This window comes from Homo sapiens, chromosome 3, assembly GCF_000001405.40.
Source record: "Homo sapiens chromosome 3, GRCh38.p14 Primary Assembly".
Classification (NCBI taxonomy): Eukaryota; Metazoa; Chordata; class Mammalia; order Primates; family Hominidae; genus Homo; species Homo sapiens.
The window spans coordinates 32,178,856-32,199,003 of NC_000003.12; the positions used below are offsets into that span (position 1 = coordinate 32,178,856).

The 20,148-nt window shown below is 41.4% G+C and overlaps 1 pseudogene; it reads left to right on the plus strand.

Annotated features, from left to right (window-relative positions):
• Nucleotides 11,816-12,842, plus strand: RPSAP11 (ribosomal protein SA pseudogene 11; annotated as a pseudogene).

Consider the following 20,148-nt stretch of genomic DNA (forward strand, 5'->3'; position numbering starts at 1 on the left):
TTTCCCTGATTTCCAAAGATGTTGAGCTTCTTTCCTTGTGTTCGTTGGCCTTCCAATTTCCTTTTGTGAGTTGACTGTGCATTTCCTCTGTTTTCCTTTTCTTTTCTTCTTCCTTTTTTTTTTTTTTTTGAGTTGACTTGCTCCTGAAAGTCTGTCCTTACATAATCTTAATATTTTATATTATATATAATGTATGCTTGTATATTATATAAAGATAATATATTAAAGACTATAATATAGTATATGCAATACATTTAAAATATATATCCTTTGTATATTTGGTTGCTTATATGCACTGCAAAGATCTTCCAGTATTTTATAACAGTTTTATTGAGATGTAGTTCATATATCATACAATTCAACCATTGAAAGTGTACGATGGGTTTTTGTTACAATTTTAGAACATTTTCACCAACTTGAAAAAAAAAAACCTTCACCTTTTGGCTATCATTTCCCTATTCCCCCATCCCCAACCCTAAGCAACCACCAACCTACCTTCTGTCTCTATCAATTTGCCTATTCTGGACATATAAATGGAATCATATAATATGTGGTCTATTGTGACTGGCTTCTTTCATTTAGCCTAATTTTTCAAGGTTTATCCATGTTGTAGTATGTATCAGAACTCCATTCCTTTTTATGACCAAATAATATTCCATCGTAGGGATATGCTACATTGTTTTCCCATTCATCAGTTGAAGTAATGTTTACTGAAAAATGTAACTGAAATTCAAAACTGTTTTTAATAGCATCTGATTTCTACTCATCTGATCTGATTGCTTACCCCTGACCTCTCCTCACACATAAATAAAGTTGGTTTTGTTTGTTTTGTTTTGTTTTTACCATGATGATCAAAAAGTTTCTGACTGGCTTTGAACTGTACTTCATTGGTGAAAATCCTCCATTCCAATCCCTATAATTAAAGAGGTAGGCCTGGGGACCCTTGTTATCCTGTGTGGCCTGGGATCAAGAGCATCAGCATCACCTGAAGCTCGTTAGAAACTCACTCTCGTCTCGCAGACCTGTCTGGATTAGACTCTGAACTTGAAGGAGATCCCCAGGTGAGTCCTGTGCCCATTTGCTTTGACAAGCTCCGCCCTGGACCACTCTTTCTCACCCGGGTGAGTGTTGAAATCACCTGGAAGCCTTTGGGAACAATGCCAAGGACCTGCCCGCCTTTCCGAGATTCTGATTTCACTGCTCTAGAGTGGGTCCCAGACTTAGAGTGTCTCCAGAGCTCCCACGGGATCCCACTGAACAGCCAGACCTGATGCAGAGATCTTTGAGGAGCAATCCCAACTTTTTTCTGTAAACCACTTTCATTTAGGGATGTTTAGTCTACATGATTTAAGCCACCAAATTTGCAATTCTGTTAAGCAAAACTGACTGGTTCTCGGTGAAGGAGCTGCAGGCCCCTTTTTAAAGGGACTGGAGTATGACGGCCAGTACACCTTATGAGTGGGTGTCAAGGCTCTGTTGACAAAGATGGTTTGTGTTTCTAAGAAAACACAGCTGAAGCCCTGTGAAGGGTAGGTTGCCAAGGATGTGCTAGTTTTTCTTGGTTCATTTTCAGTTCTCCGTTTACAAATTTGCTCTGCAAATTTGGAATGGCTACTACTTTAAGCAGCGTTTACCCAAAAGTGACTTCTTCCTTACTCCTGCCAACAGAGTAAATACAATAAGAATGGACATCTTGGGTAGACATCAGGATGTCTCTTTTTAAATAAACCCCATCCTGATCTTATCTTTGCTAAGGAAGCTGTGGCAGCAACAAGCTGTCAAATCAATTTCTCTCCCTTCTCATCCCTCCGACGATTTCCTTGAACGCATGTGTTTCTGTTCCCTGTCACTGGGCTCACACAGCAGTCACCACAGTAACCTTCTCATGGGTGGGGGTGAGGAGTTCAGCATCCACCCTTTGTATCCACAAAAGGCTTTGCCACCTTACTGGGGGGGGTTGCCTATGTTTCCTTGTCATTTACAACCCTGCCCCATTTCTGTTCCAGATAGTGGCACAGTAATGCCCCAGATTGAGGTCACTTCTCTTGGAGTTAAAGGAAACAGGAGAGGGATGCGTGGTGTTTGCACCGTGCATCCTGCCATTATCCAACTCACAGGTATGTGTGTGCATCCTCTGGACTTTCTGGCTATGGTCTTTTCAGCCACCTCAGAGATTGTGTCACCTTGACTTACCGAAAGGAGTGACCACCTGAGAATCAAAGGCCCCGGGGTTCCTGAAATCCACACCAGGAAGGGCACATACAGGTGTCAAATCGCTTCTTGGGGTCTCTCCACAAGCACCTAAATGACTACGCTGTTAACTTGATCTATTTCTCTCATACTGGGCCAGAGAACCCTGCTTTATTTTCCAGATACCTAGTGCTAATTCTCCTGTGTTTGTGACACTTTCCTAATTCCAAATCTGGGATATTTTTCTACTACTTGAGGCAGATTCCTTAGAGGCTTTTAATCTGATAAAGAGTTCTCAAACCTGGGCAATCCAGGGTGTGAGTCTTAGTTTGAGAGAGGACAGACCTCCTTTAACCCAGCAAGTCAGAGATCTTTCGTGGGTGGTGAGTTCTGTGCCCACAGAAGCCAGCATGGCTTGCTTAGCATTACAGTACCCCGGGCCTGCCATGGACAATTACTTCTGGTTTTGATCTTCACTAAAGACTTTTGCTTCATTTTCTGGTACACTGCCTTTCTGATCACATTACAGGTCTGCACCTGCGCGTCTGTGCGCATGTGCGTGTCCTTTGTAAATAACTGCCTGTTCTTTTCTTTCAGCTAGTCCTTGCCTACTCCCCTGCCCTGCCTTTTTTATTTTTTAAACTGGTTTCATTCTTTTAAATCAGATCTCCAATAAATAATCGAGTAACCTGGCCTGAGGTCCCTGCCTCCTGGAGGTGGGAGTATGCACACAATGCTTATTGGCAATTTCCACAGAAGGGCATTGAGCCGCTTGCAATGTGATTTATTTTTCCTCCAGAACAACTGATCGCAACTTCTGAGACATCTCTGATGTCCTTTGCAAACTCCAGCGTGCATGTTCCTGCATGTGCTCTATTGACAAGGATTTGATGTGAACATCATTTCTTTCAACTTTAGTACATGTATCTGCAGAAGAATCTGTGTTCCTGTTGATTCACAGCGCTGACTTCTTCATTGGTTTCTATGACAGCTTTCTGAAACAACAGGCTGGGGTGTGTGTGTATACGTGTGTATGTGTGTGTGTAGAGTAGGAGAGAGAGAACGAGGGGGGAGAGAGAGAAAGAGAGAAACAGGACACCATGGATTGATTTCATTTGATCATTATGCCTAGGTGTCCAAGTCTGTCTGTCACTCTGCTGCATTCCTGTACTATCATGCCTGTCTTCCACTCCCTTTTCTTTTTTTTTTTTCTTTCTTTCTTTCTTTTTTTTTTTTTTTTTTTTTTTTTTGAGACTGAGTCTCACTCTGTCACCCAGGCTGGAGTGCAATGGCGCAATCTCGGCTCATTGCAACCTCTGCCTCCCAGGTTCAAGCTATTCTCGTGCCTCAGCATCCCAAGTAGCTGGGATTACAGGCCTGTGCCACCATGCCCAGCTAACTTTTTGTGTGTTTTTAGTAGAGACGAGGTTTCATCATGTCGGCCAGGCTGGTCTGGAACTCCTGACCTCGGGTGATCTACTGGCCTCAGCCTCCCAAATTGCTGGGATTACAGGTGTGAGCCGCTGTGCCCAACCTCTCCCTTTTCTTTCTCTGCCCCGTCTTGTTTATTTTCTTCATTCCTAACCATCACATCCAGTTTCATCCACTTTAACACAGAACATTATATGTGATTCTAAATTAATTAAACTTAAGAAGTTTTACTGTTCTCTGTTATTAAATGTCAGCAGAATAGAATGATTTCTTTTTCTTCTTAAAGAAAGGAAAAGGGTAGTAATTAAAATGCTTTATTTTTCCTCTTGATTTTTTGGATGCCATATATATGGTTTCAATGTCAAAATTTCAATCACCCTGTATGATCTCATCTTTTTTTTCATTTTGTATTAAACCAAGAGCATTTTCCCATAGTATTAAATATCCTTAGGGAATATATTTAACCATGTATAAGTTGATGGCATTTTTAGAGTTTTATTTTAATTTGGGGATACACAACCTAATTATATCCATTGGTCTATTGCTAGTGGTAGAATTACAGGATTTGAAGGGTAGATTTTGAAAGCTTTCAATAAATATGACTCAACTGCCTACCAGCCACGTATGAGTGCCCAGGTTAGTGCCCATCCATCTGGCATTGAGCAATATCTTGGAAAAATACAACTTTGCTCATTTAATAGGTGAAAATGGCATCTTCATATTTTCAATTTGCATTTAAGTATCACTAAGTTGAAGATTTGGAGATAATAGAATTTAGAAAAGGAAAAAGTTTACTTGCAAGAAATACAGGGACCTCAGAAGGAACTGCTCATCAGATAAAAAACACAACAGGTCATTAACAGCAAACACTGCAAACTTACCAAGGTTACTGAATTTGTAGTTGGTGTGTTCATGACAGAAAACCGGCAATTTTCTTACGGGGTTATCATTTCTACAAAGGCTGGGGTAGTCTTCAGACAGCAGTTTTGCAAAAGTCTGGGATAAAGTTGTTTGCATTAAGTAGTCAGCAACTTACAGGAAATGCTCAAGAGTTCATTTATTTGGGGGGCTAGAATTAGAGAGGGTTCAAAATGTTTGTTTTCCTCTAACCATGGGACTTAACGGAGGCAAGAGATCAGTTTTGCTTCCACGAGACTTTTCAGGTGTAGACAGGATTGTGTATTTCTGCTTGTATAACTGTATGTGTCTTTTGCCCTATTTAACTTTACTGGGTCGTACCTTTTGCTTATTGATTTTTATTTCCTATATATTAAAAAGCTATTACGATAAAATGTAAAAAAAATACTTTCAATGTCGTTTGCCTTTTGGTTTATGATATTTTTATCATAACTAACACCTTTATCTTTATGTAGTCAAATTGTTCAATTAGTTTCCTTATAATTTCTGCTTTGGCACCACACTTAGAAAGTCCTTTTCAGCCGGGCATGGTGGCTCATGCCTGTAATCCCAGCACTTTGGGAAGTCAAGGTGGGCGAATCACTTGAGGTCAGGAGTTCGAGACCACCTGGCCAACGTGGTGAAACCCCATCACTACTAAAATTACAAAAATTAGCTGGGCGTGGTGATGCACATCTGTAATCCCAGCTACTCAGAAGGCTGAGGCAGGAGAATCCCTTGAACCTGGGAGGCGGAGGCTGCAGTGAGCCGAGATTGCACCACTGCACTCCAGCCTGGGCAACAGAGCGAGACTTCATAAAAAAAAGAAAAAAAAAAAGGAAAGAAAGACAAAAGAAAGTCTTTTTCAGCTCTTTTTATATTGTTTATAGGCAGCCCACAGAATGGGAGAACATATTTGCAAATCATATAACTCATAAAGGATTGATATCCAGAATATACAAAGAATTCCTACAACTCAACAACAACAAAAACACTCAATTAAAAAACTGACAAAGGGCTTAAATAGGCATTCCTCCAAAGATATACAATGGCAATAAGCACATGAAAGGATGCCCAACATCACTAATCACTAGAGAAATGCAAACCAAAACCACAATGAGATACCACCTCACTCATTAGGAACGTTATTTTTTTCACAATATGTAGTTAATAACAAGAGTTAGTAAGGATGTGGGAAAATTGGAACTGCTTTGCATTGTTGGTGGGAACATAAAATGGTGCAGCCGCTATGGAAAATAGTATAGTGGTTCGTCAAAAACTTAAAAATAGAATTAGCATATGATCTAGTAGTTCCACTTCTGGGTATATACCCACAAGAATTGAAAGCAAGGATTCAGATATTTGTACGCTGACATTCAGAGCAATATTAATCACAATAGCCAAAAAGTAGCAGAAATCCAAGTGTCCGCTGAGATGAATGGAGAAACAAAATATGGTCTACACATACAACAATGGACTATTCGTTTTTTTTTTTTTTTTTTTTTTGAGACGGAGTCTCGTTGTATTGCCCAGGCTGGAGTGCAATGGTGCAATCTCGGTTCACTGCAACCTCCGCCTCCTGGGTTCAAGCGATTCTCCTGCCTCAGCCTCCCGAGTAGCTGGGATTACAGGCATGTGCCACCGTGCCTGGCTAATTTTTTAATAGAGATGGGATTTCGCCATGCTGGCCAGGCTGGTCTCGAATGCCTGACCTCATGATCCATCTGCCTCAGCCTCCCAAAGTGCTGGGATTACGGGTGTGAGCCACTGCGCCTGGCCCATACAGTGGACTATTCTTTGACCTTAAAAAGGAAAGAAATTCCGACGCCTGCTACCACATAGATGAACTTTGGAGATATTATGTTAAGTGAACTAAGCCAGATACAAAAGGATAAATACTGTATAACTCCACTTATATGAGGTACATAGAGTAGCCAAATTCATGGAGACATAAAGTACAGTGGTAGTTCCAGGGACGTAGGGGAGGGGAGGATGGGGAGTTGTTTAATGAGTACTGAGTTTCATTCTAGGAAGATGAAAAAGTTTTGGAGGTAGATGGTGGTGATGGCTGTGTAACAGTGTTCATGTGCTTAATGCCACTGAACTATACACTTACAAATGATTAAAATGGCAAGTTTTATGTATATTTTACCACATTTAAAAGATATTTTCTCTTAATACTTTATAATTGCATTGTGTACTTTTCAGAACCATTCTGGCTATGAAAGCATCAGCAATTCCTATTCACACTTCAAGTTTACCCATTGGTGGTGACAGGTTGGTGGTTGGGTGCCTGGTGAAAACTAAACCAAGGCTGAGTTAGAAATGAGGACAGACCTTGAGAGATGGAGTCAGGTGTGCTCGTCAGGCTCTTTTGATGACAAGGAACATGGATTTTCTTAGACTACCTGTCCCACTTACTATCACTGCATAACAAACTACCCTAAAACTTTGTTGATTAAGCAAAACCATTTTATTATATGTCACAACTACATGGACGCTGCATGATTTTTTTGACCTACCCTTGGAAGACACATAGTGTTACATCCACTGCATTCTGTTGACTATAGTAATGTCAGCTCAGATTCAAGGGGAAAGGAATCATAGGTCCCCTCCTGATGGGGGAGTGGCAAGGTCACACTGAGGAGAGCATGTGGGATGGAGATAGTGTTGTAGCCATCTTTGAAAAATGGAATCTCCTCCACTGCTAAGAAAAAGAGGATTTATTATAAAAATACAAAAGACTAGAATTAGGAAAACCCTGGAATGGACCAGTTGCTCTGTCTCTGACCTCTGCATGTCTGCTTTGCACTCTCTCTACTCAGTTTCTCTTGGTCTTGTTTGATTTCCCTCAGCCTCTGCTCCTCCCCAGCACACTGGCCTTTGACCTGCTATGGCCTCTCCAGCCTTTGTCAAGCTTCCCCGAATGTGTTAGTTCAAATTCCAGAGAGAGGCTCTGACTGGCTCATCTCATATGTCTCACAACACTTGGTCCAATCAAATGGAGGGGCTGACACAGGCTGGGACTAAAGGGAATGAGGAGCTGGGCGGCTCTCAGATCACCCTGCACTGATTCTCACACCTGGCTGCATATTCGGATCACCTGCGCAGCTTTAAAAACATACCCACGGCCTGGGTCCCACCCTCAGAGATTCTGATTCAATTGATCTGGGGTTAGAGGCTAAGTATGCATGTTGTTTTAGATGCATGGTACCCACGCTTCTCCTGAAACCAGGGAACTTTGCTGCTGGCTGTGATACACAGTCAGCAGGTGTGGACAGCAAGCTAGCCCAAAGAGGATCATTTACCAGACAGGGAAAGAAAAACAGGCTTTTCTTGTTTTCCAGCGTGTGTTGTTGCTTTTGTTGTTTTTTTCACAAATCTCAAAGAATTTGTGAGCTCGAAGAGACCTTAGAGACAATCTAATACAACACATTCATTTCCAGGTATGGAATATGGCGACCAATCCGTCCTGGTTTAGCTGGGACTGCCCCAACTTCAGCACTGGAAGTACTGCCACATCCCAGGGAAATCCTTCAGTCCCAGGCAAACCGAAAAGGCTGTACCTTATATAGAAACTCCAACCCATTAGCAGTCACTCCTTGTCCTCCCTGCCCCCAGCTGCTGGCAACCATTTATCCACTTTCTGTCTGTATGGATTTGCATACTCTGGACAGTTCATATAAATGGAATCCCACAATATGTGGCCTTTTGTTTCTGCCTTATTTCACTTAGCATGTTTTTGAGGTTCATTCATGAAGTAGCAGGTGCACATACTTCATTTCTCTTTATGGCTAAATAACACTCCCTTATATGGCTTTACCACATTCGTCTGTTGATGGACATTTGGGTCATTTCCACTTTTGGGCTATTATGAATAATAGCTCCTGTGAACATCTGTATGCAGGTTTTTGTGTGGACATATGTCTTTAGTTTTCTTGGGTATACACCTAAGAGTGGGATTGCTGGGTCATATGGTAACTCTATGTTTAACATTTTGAAGAACTGCCAGACTTTGTTAAATAAAGTGTCTGTATCATTTTATGTTTGTACCAGCACAAATATGAAGGTTCTAATTCCTCCATAGCCTCACTAGCACCTGTTATTATCTACCTTTTGATTCTAGCCATCCTAGTAGGTGTGAAGTAGTATCTCATTGTGGCTTTGATTTGCATTTCCCTGATGATTAACAATGTTGAACATCTTTTCATGTGCTTATTGGCCATTTGTGTATCTTTTTAGAGAAATGTGTATTCAGATCCTTTGCTCATTTAAAAACTGGGTTATTTATCTTCTTATTACTGAATTGTAAGAGTTCTTACATATTCTAGATATAAGCCCCTTGTCAGATACATGATTTACAAATATTTTCTTCCATTCAGTGGTTTTCTTTTCATTTTCCGGAAGATGTCCTTGAAGCATAATAGTTTTTAATTTTGATGAAGTCCCATTTATCTATTTTTTCTTTTGTTGCTTGTGCTGTTGGTGTTATAGCTAAGAAACCATTGCCTAATCCAAGATCATGAAGATTTAGGCCTATGCATTCTTTTAAGAGTTGTATAGTTTAGCTCTCACATTTATTTAGGCCTTTGCTCCATTTTGATGAAGTTTTGTATATGGCATGAAGCAGGAGTTCAATTTCGTTCTTTTGCATATGGCTAGCCAGTTGTTTCACCATCATTTTTGAAGAAACTTCCTTGTCCACTGAATGGTCTTGGCACCCTTTTAGCAAACAAGCTGAGCTTAGATGTATAAATTTCTGTCAGGACTCTCACTTCAATTCCATTGACCTATACATCTATCCTTACACCAGTACCATACTGTCTGGACTACTATAGATTTGTAGTAAGTTGTCAAATAGAGGAGTGTGAGTCCTCCAACTTAATTCTTCCTTTTTAAGATGATTGTGGTTATTCTGGATACCTTGAATTCCATATGATTTTTTTTTTTTTAGTTTTTCTCATTACTGTTGGGTTTTATTTTTTAATTAATTAATTTTTAATTGACAAAGAAAAATAGTATATATTTATCATGTACAACATGTTTTGAAATACGTACATTACAAAATGGCTCAATTGAGCTAATTAACAAATCCATATGATTTTCAAGATCAGTTTGTCGATTGCTGCAAAAAAAATCCAGGTGAGATTTTGATAAGGACTGCATTGAAACTATAGATCACTCTAGAGAGTATTCCCATCTGAACAATATTAAGTCTTTCAATCCATGGACATGGGATGTCTTTTCATCTATTTAGGTCTTTATTGATTTCTTTCAGCAGTGTTTTGTAATTTGAGTGTACTAGTCTTATACTTCTTATGTTAAACTTATTCCCGAGTATGTTCCTCTTTTTGATACTATTATAAATGGAAATGGAATTTTTAGATTAATTTCATTTTCAGATTGTTTACTGCCAGCATATAGAAATATAATTGATTTTTGTATATTGATTTTACATCCTTGCTGAACTTGTTTATTAGTTCTAGTAAGTTTTAGTGGATACTTCATAACTTTATAGATATAAGACCTATGTCTGCCAATAGGTAACATATAGTTTATTTCTTCCTTTCAAATCTAGATGCCTTTTATTTTATTTTCTTTCCTAATTAATTTGTCAGTTAGTTGAATGTTGAGTAGAAGTGATGAGCACAGACACTCTTATCTTATTCCTGATTTTAGGAAAAAAGTATTTGTCTTCCACCATTATATATGATATTACCTATCGGTTTTCTTTTTGTAGATGCCCTTTATCAGGTTTAAGAAGTTCCCTTCTAGTCCTGGTTAGTGGAGTGTTTTTGTCATGAAAGTATGTTCAATTTTATCAAATGCTTTTCCTGTGTCTACTGAGATGACCATGTGGCTTTTTTCCTTTTTTCCATTCATGTGGTATATTACATGATTTATTTTCAAATATTGCCAACCTTGTATTCCTGGGATAAGTCCCACTTGGTCAGGGTGTGTAACTCTTCTATTTCACTGGTATTTTGTTAAAGGTTTTTGACTACATTTATAAGGGACATTGATCTGGAGTTTTCTTTTATTGAGTTGTCTCTGGTATCAGGGATAATACTGGCATCATAGAATGAGTTGGGAAATGTTCCCTCCTCTTCTATTTTTTGAAAGAGTTTGTGAAAAAATTGGTATTCATTCTTTTTCAAATGTTTGATAGAATTCACCGAGTGAAGCCATCTGAGTCTGGGGCTTTCTTTGTGAGTAGTTATTTGTTTGCTAATTCAATCTCTTTACTTGCTGTAATTCTCTACATAGCATTCATCTTGAATGCTTACACAATACTGTGTCAGGTACAGTGCTAGTTCTTAAATTTCTTTTGGGAGGTTTGGACACTAAGAGGAGGGGAAGGGGCTAGATGCATTCATTCATGGGGGTATTCTTTCAAAACACTTATCGAGTACCCCTGGCTGTGTTCTGTGCTCAGCCCTGAAACTACTAAGACCAACAAGGCAGCCACAGGATGAAGGAGTGAACAAGCTGATTTCAGATCAGAGTCTGGGTGGCCACCTGCCGAGTGTGAGAGGAGACCCAGCAGTGCTCACTGGTGTTGGAGTCGTTCTTGGCTCCAAACAAACAGTGGTGCCTCAGAGTCCTCTGGCACTTTGTAGGTTATAAAGTGCTTTCACTTGTAAAATCTCATCACAGTTGATCCTTAGAGGCAATTCAGCAAAGTTCATTATCCCTCTTTGCAAAAGATGAGAAAACCAATGTTCAGAGGTCAGTATGAATTCAAACTTTTAGGAAATGCTTCTCCCTTACTAGCCCCATGTAAGGCCCTAGGAGATAAAGATATGACAAGGTTCTTGCCTTCAAGGAGCTGTCAGTCTGAGACAGAAAGAGACAGGAAGTCAGAGAGACATAACAATCTATGATGGTCATCTCACAGGGTGAAATGGAGGCAAAGAGGAGGGGGTTCAGCAATGGTTTCGCCATGAATGTGACCCTTAAAATGTGGCTGGGAGCAACCTGGACATTACAGCAGGAAATAACAAAAGTCATTCAGAACTGGGATGACCATATGTCCTAGTTTCCCCAGGATAATATGTTTGCTTCTGTTGTCACAGTTTGAGTATCAGTAGCACCCTTTTTTCCTCTCAAAATACATGTTTGATATATGCATGCTTTCAAAGTATTTCCCTAAAAAATTGTTGGAATTATGAAGGAAAAAAATAGTAACTTTGCAGTAGAGAAATCTGGCAGATGCTTAATCCAGTAATGAAGATTAATATCTTCACAGATGGTACCAATGAACATCATGTGCCTCCTGTTAAGATTTGCTCAGAACTTTCCACGCTACCCACAGAGGGGTGCATACAGCATTGTTCTGGATTCCAGTCGTAACTTAAACGGAAACTTTCACAATGTCCGGAGCCCTTGATGTCCTACAAATGAAGGAGGAGGATGTCCTTAAGTTCCTTGCAGCAGGAACCCACTTAGGTGGCACTAATCTTGACTTCCAGATGGAACAGTACGTCTATAAAAGGAAGTGATGGCATCTACATCCTAAATCTGAAGAGGACCTGGGAGAAGCTTCTGCTGGCAGCTCGTGCCATTGTTGCCATTGAAAACCCTGCTGATGTCAGTGTCATATCCTCCAGGAATACTGGCCAGAGGGCTGTGCTGAAGTTTGCTGCTGCTGGAACCACTCCAATTGCTGACCGCTTCACCCCTGGAACCTTCACCAATCAGATCCAGGCAGCTTTCCGGGAGCCATGGCTTCTTGTGTTTACTGACCCCAGAGCTGACCACCAGCCTCTCCCGGAGACATCTTATGTTAACCTACCTACCATTGCTCTGTAACACAGATTCTCCTCTGTGCTATGTGGACATTGCCATCCCATGCAACAACAAGGGAGCTCACTCAGTGGGTCTGATGTGGTGGATGCTGGCTCGGGAAGTTCTGCGCATGCGTGGCACCATTTCCCGTGAACACCCATAGGAGGTCATGCCTGATCTCTGCTTCTACAGAGATCCTGAAGAGATTGAAAAAGAAGAGCAGGCTGCTGCTGAAAAGGCTGTGACCAAGAAGGAACTTCAGGGCGAATGGACTGCTCCAGCTCCTGAGTTCACTGCTACTCAGCCTGAGGTTGCAGACTGGTCTGAAGGTGTGCAGGTGCCCTCTGTGCCTATCCAGCAGATCCCTACTGAAGACTAGAGCTCTCAGCATGCCACGGAAGACTGGTCTACAGCTCCCACTGCTCAGGCCACTGAATGGGTAGGAGCAACCACTGAATGGTCTTAAGCTGTTCTTGCACAGGCTCTTAAGCAACATGGAAATAAGGCTGATGGAAAATAAACATCAGTTTCTAAAAAAAAAAAAAGAGAGAAAGAAAAAATTTGTGCTGAGAAGGGGCAGGAACAGTGGCTCACGTCTGTAATCCCAGCACTTTGGGGGGCCAAGGCAGGCAGATCACATGAGGTCGGGAGTTCAAGACCAGCCTGGCTAACATGGTAAAACCCCATCTTTACTAAAAATACAAAATTAGCTGGCCGTGGTGGCGTGCGCCTGTAATCCCAGCTACTCAGGAGGTTGAAGCAGGAGAATTGCTTGAACCCGGGAGGTGGAGTTTGCAGTGAGCAAGGATCGCGCCGCTGCACTCTAGCCTGGGCAACAGAGTAAGACTCTGTCTCAAAAAAAAAAAAAAAAAATGTGCCAAGAGGGACACAACAGCACTTTTGTGATATTGTTGCCAGAAATATATAAACTGAATCTAATCACTAAGAAATATCAGACAAACCCCAACTGAGGGACATTCCACACAACAGTTGAGCCACAAAACATATCAAGGTCATGAGAGACAAGAAAGACCAAGGAACCATTCTAGATTAAAGGACACTAAAGAGAAACGACAACTAAATGCAACACATGGTACAAGATTATATCCTGAATGGAAAAAAAGTACATCAGCAGGCCGTGTGAAATCTGAAGACTGTAGATTAGATAACGGCACTGCTATCAATGTAGAATGTCCTTAGGTTTAGGAACTACACATAGAAGTATTTAGTGCTTTTTCAAAGTGCCACAGTTTGGATGATAAATGGTGATGGTGTGGTCTCCCTTCCCAGAACCCAGTGAGAACCCAGCCCTCTCCACTCCCAGGCTGTGGACCTGTCACCATCAACCACCTCAGATGGCCACTCAACTCCTCACCACTGAGAGGGCATTCAGATGAGCCAGGGGCTGGTATGCCCTGGGACACACAGGACCCCTTGTCAGCACCATGCCAACCTGTCCACCCACAAAGTGTCTCCGTTCCTCTGGCACCTTAATTCCCTAATAAGGTCTCAGCCAAGTGAAACCACCACTCAGCTTTTCCCAACAGTCAGAAGTAAGAGTCTCAAACAAAGGAAAAAAAACAGGAGAAAAGTTGGCCTTTTTGTGGTCATTTCCGCTTTCTTGTTGGGTGGGCCGAGGCCTCCTCAGACCTGATTCTCTGAATGTGTCCTATGTGGTCTGTAGGCTAAATGGTTAGTAGAGAAACTGTGTTTTTCTTCCAACTACATCCTCTCACCTGACTTACAGGTCTCTTAAAATCAGGTAATCCTCTAGGACCAGAATATGAGATGCAGACATCTTGGGCAAGCTAATAATTTGGCATTCCCTTAAACTGATGTTCCTTAAATATTTGTTTATGGGGAGCAGAAAGAATTGGTTTTCTGTTCATACATAGACACAGTTGGATTCACTGAATATGCCTCTGCTGGCCGGAGCAAAGTCAGTGGACTTCAAATAAAGGGCAAAAAAATTTCCCCTGGATCTGAAGTCCTAATTCTTTCTCCAGCTTTTCTTTTCTTCTTTTTCTTTCTTTCTGTCTTTTTCTTTCTTTCTTTCTTTACTTTCTTTCTCTCTTTCTTCCTTTTTTTTTTTTAAAAGAGACAGAGTCTTGCTCTGTTGCCCAGGCTGATCTTGAACTCCTGGCATTAAGCCACCCTCCTACTTCAGCCTCCTGAGTAGCTGGGACTACAAATGCATGCCAGTTTTCTTTGGGATTTTCTGAACCAGACAAATATTTTTAATGTCAGTTACAGAATTATGTTCTTTTATGATTCAGTGTATCACTTACTATCATCTGTGCCTGGGCTGTGCCTCACTTTTATATGTATTTTATTTTATTTTATTGGATTTTCCCCCTTCATCTCTGTTCTGTTTCTTTTTTTCTTTTTCTATTTTTTTTAAGAAAGGGTCTCACTCTTGTCACTCAGGCTGGAGTGCAGTGATGCGATCCTGGCTCACTGCAACCTCTGCCTCCTGGATTCCCAAGTACCTGGGATTACAGGTGCACACCACCATGCCTGGCTAATTTTTGTACTTTTAGTAGAGGCAAATTTTCACCATGTTGGTCACACTGGTCTTGAACTCCTGGCCTCAGGTGATCAGCCCACCTCAGCCTCCCAAAGTGCTGGGATTACAGGTGTGAGCCACCGCTCCTGGTCTCTGTTCTGCATTTCTGTTCCACCCTTCTCCCCATCAGCACTCATTATAATGTGTAGTATTTCCTTAGCTATGACCCTACCTTTGAAAAATACAGAGCACAACTTAGTATATGTATGCATTTTAAGTACATATAATTGGTAATCCAACTTTAGCTGCATCAGGATGATCCGGAGAAAACACAGATTCCTGGACCAGAGACTGATTCAGCAGGTCTGCATGGGGCCTGAGAGTTAACATTTGTAACAGGTTGCCTGGGGATTCTGAGGCTGTGGACAGTGCACCACACATCAAGCTGCACAATTCTAGATCTCCCTTGGTTATAAAATAAATAAAAAATAAAATAAAAATGATAGTAATAAAAATTATTATCATTCAACATCATGTTTTCAAAGTCTGTCTGTATTCTTTATGTACCTTAGTTCATTGCTTCCATCCGGTCTAAGTGTCTGTCTCTCTTCAACAGTGTACTTTTCTACTCCCTTAGTGAGGGACGCCTTAGGTTGCTTCCAACTCCTCTATCACATAGGATGCTGCAATGAATGTTGTTTTCCATGTGTCCTCATGTACCTAGGAATGAGATTCTCTGGGACATATATCCAGGAGAGGAGAATACTGGGCTGTCAGGTACATATTTGCACATCTAATTTCTCTAAGTATTTCCAGACTGCTTGTTCTCCAGGCCAACAACACCAAACCCACTCCCACACACCTTGGTGCATGGGGGTCCCTAAACTTCCTGGGAGACATAAAGGAGTTTTCATTTTGATAATAAAATAAATCTGTCAGTCCCTGTAACAGCAAGATTATAAACAATATTTGGTTTCAGAATTTTACCTCACCAGCACTGCATGCTGCAAAAATCCTGGGCAGCCAGGTCTGTGCTCATGAGGAATGCCCACACACACAGAGGCACACACACCTCAGCCCCATGACACAGCCTGGCTCAGCACAGGCAGGAGCCATGTTTATTTTCCTGTCTTACTTACCCTCATAAATCAGAGGCCTACTTGATATGGCTCCAACTTCTGCTCTGTGAAGCCTCTGGAAGCAGAACTTGCTCCAGGGTTGCGAGAAGACCATTACCTCCCTGCAGGCTGGACCAGAAGCTTTGTGGCAGTGGCCAGACAACCCATTGTCTGGGATTATCTGATTTCACTCCATAGGGTTGTTTTCCTGTTCTTACCTGATTCTCTCAACAATGAGCATAAAAATAGAATCTTCCTGACTAGCCCAGAGTTTTAAAATTACCAACAAAAGGGTGCAGCAGATGTCTTTTTTGACCTCAGATCATTTTTTAAAGGCTATCCTCTTTGGCACAACCAAAGGTGAACTGAACATTGCATTCAAATAACCCAGTTTTCCTTTCTAGAGGGGTAAGGGGAGGATTAGTGGGCATATGGTAATTTGTACAATCCTCCAAACAACAGGTAACTACAACCAGCCTGGTTACATTGAAATGCCAGGAACCCTTTGGAAAAAAGTGATCAATTGATTTGGAGAATAGTAAATGTGACTTTAGAAAAGCAGATTTTAAAAATTTCAGAGAAAAGGACATATTCATTCATTCAAGTATTTATTTTATTTTTTTAATTGACAAATAATAACTGTACATATTCTGGGGTACATAGAGATGTTTCAATACATTTAATGTACAATTATCAGATCAGGGTAATTAGCATATCCATCAGCTCAAAGACTTATTATTCCTTTGTGTTGGGATCATTCGATATTCTCCTTCTAGCTATCTAGCCATTTGAAATGGTATAAAATATTATTGGGTTTTGTGGGGGGGTTTTTTGTTTGTTTTCTTTTCTTTCTTTTTTTATTTTTATTTTTATTTTTTTTTTTGAGACAGAGTCTCACTCTGTTGCCCAGACTGGAGTGCGATGGCACGATCTCGGGTCACTGCAGCCTTCACCTCCCGGGTTCAAGAAATTCTCGTGTCTCAGCCTCCTGAGTAGCTGGGATTACAGTCACACACCACCGCACCCGGCTAATTTTTGTATTTTTAGTAGAGACGGGATTTCACCATGTTGGCCAGGCTGGTCTCGAACTCCTGACCTCAAGTGATCCGCCTGCCTCGGCCTCCCAAAGTGCTGGGATTTTAGGCATACGCCACCTCGCCTGGCCTGTATAATATGTTATTGTTAACTGTAGTCATCCTACACTGGTATAGAACATTAGAACTTATTCTTCATATCTAGCTGTTCATTCAAGTATTTTATTGAGACTTTTTGAACTAATGCGGTATTCCATAGGGTACTGTTTATTGCTCCATCCTTCCCATTTTGAAAAAAATCAACTATTAATTTAAAAGCAAAAACCTTAAAATTCATGCTTATCAACTTTGCAGATGATCCCAAACTCAGAGAAATGGCAAATAAAAGAGATTGCATAATCAATATTTAAATGATATCAACAGATCAGAATCCTGAGGTGTAGCCAACAAGATAAAAGAGAAATGACAGCTGTATTTATGCATAAAATAAATACAGCTGCACAGGTACGGGATGACAGGTGCCTGGCATTGTCCCAGTTTGTATGACACATGGTTTGTTGTGGAAATCAAATCAGATAATACAGTTTTAGGCAGCATGAGTAGGACAAAAGAGTGGTGGTCAGGAAAAATCAAAGCAGCACCTGACAATCTGCATGCCCAACTCCCCAACACCTGACACTCTCCATGCCCAGCTCCTTCGGGATATGACACACTTCGTGAGGTAGGGATTACATCTGTCCTGTGACCTTCTAGATCCCTGGATGACAAGCAGTGCCTGCCCCCCACATAGGTGCTCAATGCCTGGTTGATGAAAGAATGAAGAAATACCATATTCAGTACAGCACTCCCCTTTCAGAGAGAACATTTAAAATGAAGATCCATCTTGAGGAGGACAGTCAGAATGGTGTGGGGTTTCGATTCTGGGTACCACTAACTTAGGCAACAGAAAGTTTGGGCTGAACATGTGTAATGAACCTGGTAACATCTCAAAATATCCAGAGGGCGGTCATGGGAAGAAGTAGAATTGTGCTTCTTGGTCCAGAGCCCAGAAATGCACTGCTGGATGAGAGACAGGCAGGATGGGCTTTAATGTAATACCCTTCTCACAGCGAGGACTGTCGGGCGGTGGAAGATGGACAGCCTCTCACAGCAGTGTGTTTTCTCCCACAGACATGTTCCAGCAGCACCTGATGACTTTGAGGGGATCCTGTTGAGTGAGGAATTTTATGTCCCCCAGAATTATGTTTGTTGGGTTTCCTCAATTATATTAAAATATAGGAAGAAAACAAAAAAGAAGACCTATAATCCATTTCCGAGGAAACCACCAAAGGTAAAAATATAAGTATTAAGAAATATTTAGGCTGGGGGCAGTGGCCCATGCCTATAATCCCAGCACTTTGGGAGACTGAGACAGGCAGATCACTTGAGGTCAGGAGTTCAAGACCAGCCTGGCCAACATGGTGAAACCCCATCTCTACTAAAAATACAAAAATTAGCCAGGCGTGGTGGCGCATGTCTGTAATCCCAGTTACTCAGGAAGCTGAGGCAGGATAATTGCTTGAAAACAGGAGGTGGAGCCGAGATCATGCCACTGCACTCCAGCCTAGGTGATAGAGTGAGACTCTGTCTCAAAAAAAAAAAAAAAACAAAAAGAAAGAAAAGAAGAAAAGAAAAGAAAAGGGATATTTAAGACATTATTTTATTTTTATTTATTTGTTTTTTGGAGATGGGATGTCACTTGTTGCCTCGTCTGGCCTTGAACTCCTAGGCTCAAGGGATTCCCCCCCCTTCAGCCTCCTGAGTAACTAGGACTACAGGCATGTGCCACTGTGCCTGGCTTTTAAAACCTTATGTTAAATTCTACTTGTTGAAGCTTAAATCGGTAGTGAAAATAAAGGCTATCATTTTTTTAGCTGGATCCAGATTACAAAAGGTCTTGAATATTTGACCTCCCAAAATCCAAATTGTATTCAGATGGTCTCAAGCAGTTCTCATTTTTTAGGGCCAGTGCTGGCATTCAAAATCTGAAGGTATCCTTTGTTAATCAGCTAGATTCACCATTCTGCAATAGACATGCGCTTCAAAACATCATGTGGTACATGATAAAAAACATACAATGATACCTGTCCATTTAAATAAACAATAATTTCAAACAAAATAAAACAAAATAATTCAAACAAAAATCTGAAGTGTTCAAAGAAATTGTTCTGAGAAACATATGTGGGTTGACTGCCACCATCAAGGATCATAAAACTTACAACTCTACACCTCTCAGAGCAGAAACTTCCAAGAAGAAATGGATCCCATTTATTGCTAAACCTGCTGGGTTTGTTTCTTTAATCATAAAGCTCCACAACTTCCACCTAAACCTCTAGCTAGATTGGCAGAATTGGGTCTATAAAGTAATACAAGTCCTCCCTTGGGATGGCAGGCTGGGAGCCCATTTATCCAAGCAGCCACATTCTTTGCCGCCCAGTGGAGGGGAGGGAAGAGAAGTCTTTACAAGCAATGCCTCCAAGACAGCATGTCTTAAGGTCAGGGTCTCTTGCCTATGGTGAACAGCTATTAATGTGTCTGCTCAGGATAGCACCCCTCCCCTCTTCTGGCTCTACTCCTTACCCTCATCCTTATCCTCTTGTTTAGAGCCATCTGCTTTCAGATCTCACACCCTAAGCCACAGGGATTGGCAGAGGTAGGGCCCCAACCCCAAATAAACCAATAATATTATCCAATCTCATACCACAGCAATTGGAACAAAGATGCAACCCAAACTGGGCCAAAGGCAAGAAGGGCATCCCTCTCGGATGGCAGAGCAGAAGCTGGGAACCTGAGAATTATTGATGCCCGTGTCTTCCATGCCTGGCAGAAGCTAACTCAAGAGAATGAACATAATATCTGTGTGGCAGATTGTGCTTCCAAAAAATGGCCACAGTAATATCTCCCATCACACATGTTTTCCAGAACCTGGCCACTCCCGAACAAGAGGTGGAGCCTGTGGCTGTCCCCATCCCTTGAAAACACTGGGTGGGCCTTTGTGACTGCCTCCATCAGTAGAGAAGAGCAGAAGTGATACTATCTGACTTCTGAGCCCAGACCACAGAAGCAACCCAGCTTCCTGGCTCTCTTTGGGGATGGCTTGCCCTTGGAGCCTGGCTCTGCTGCTATGAGAAGCCACATGGAGAGA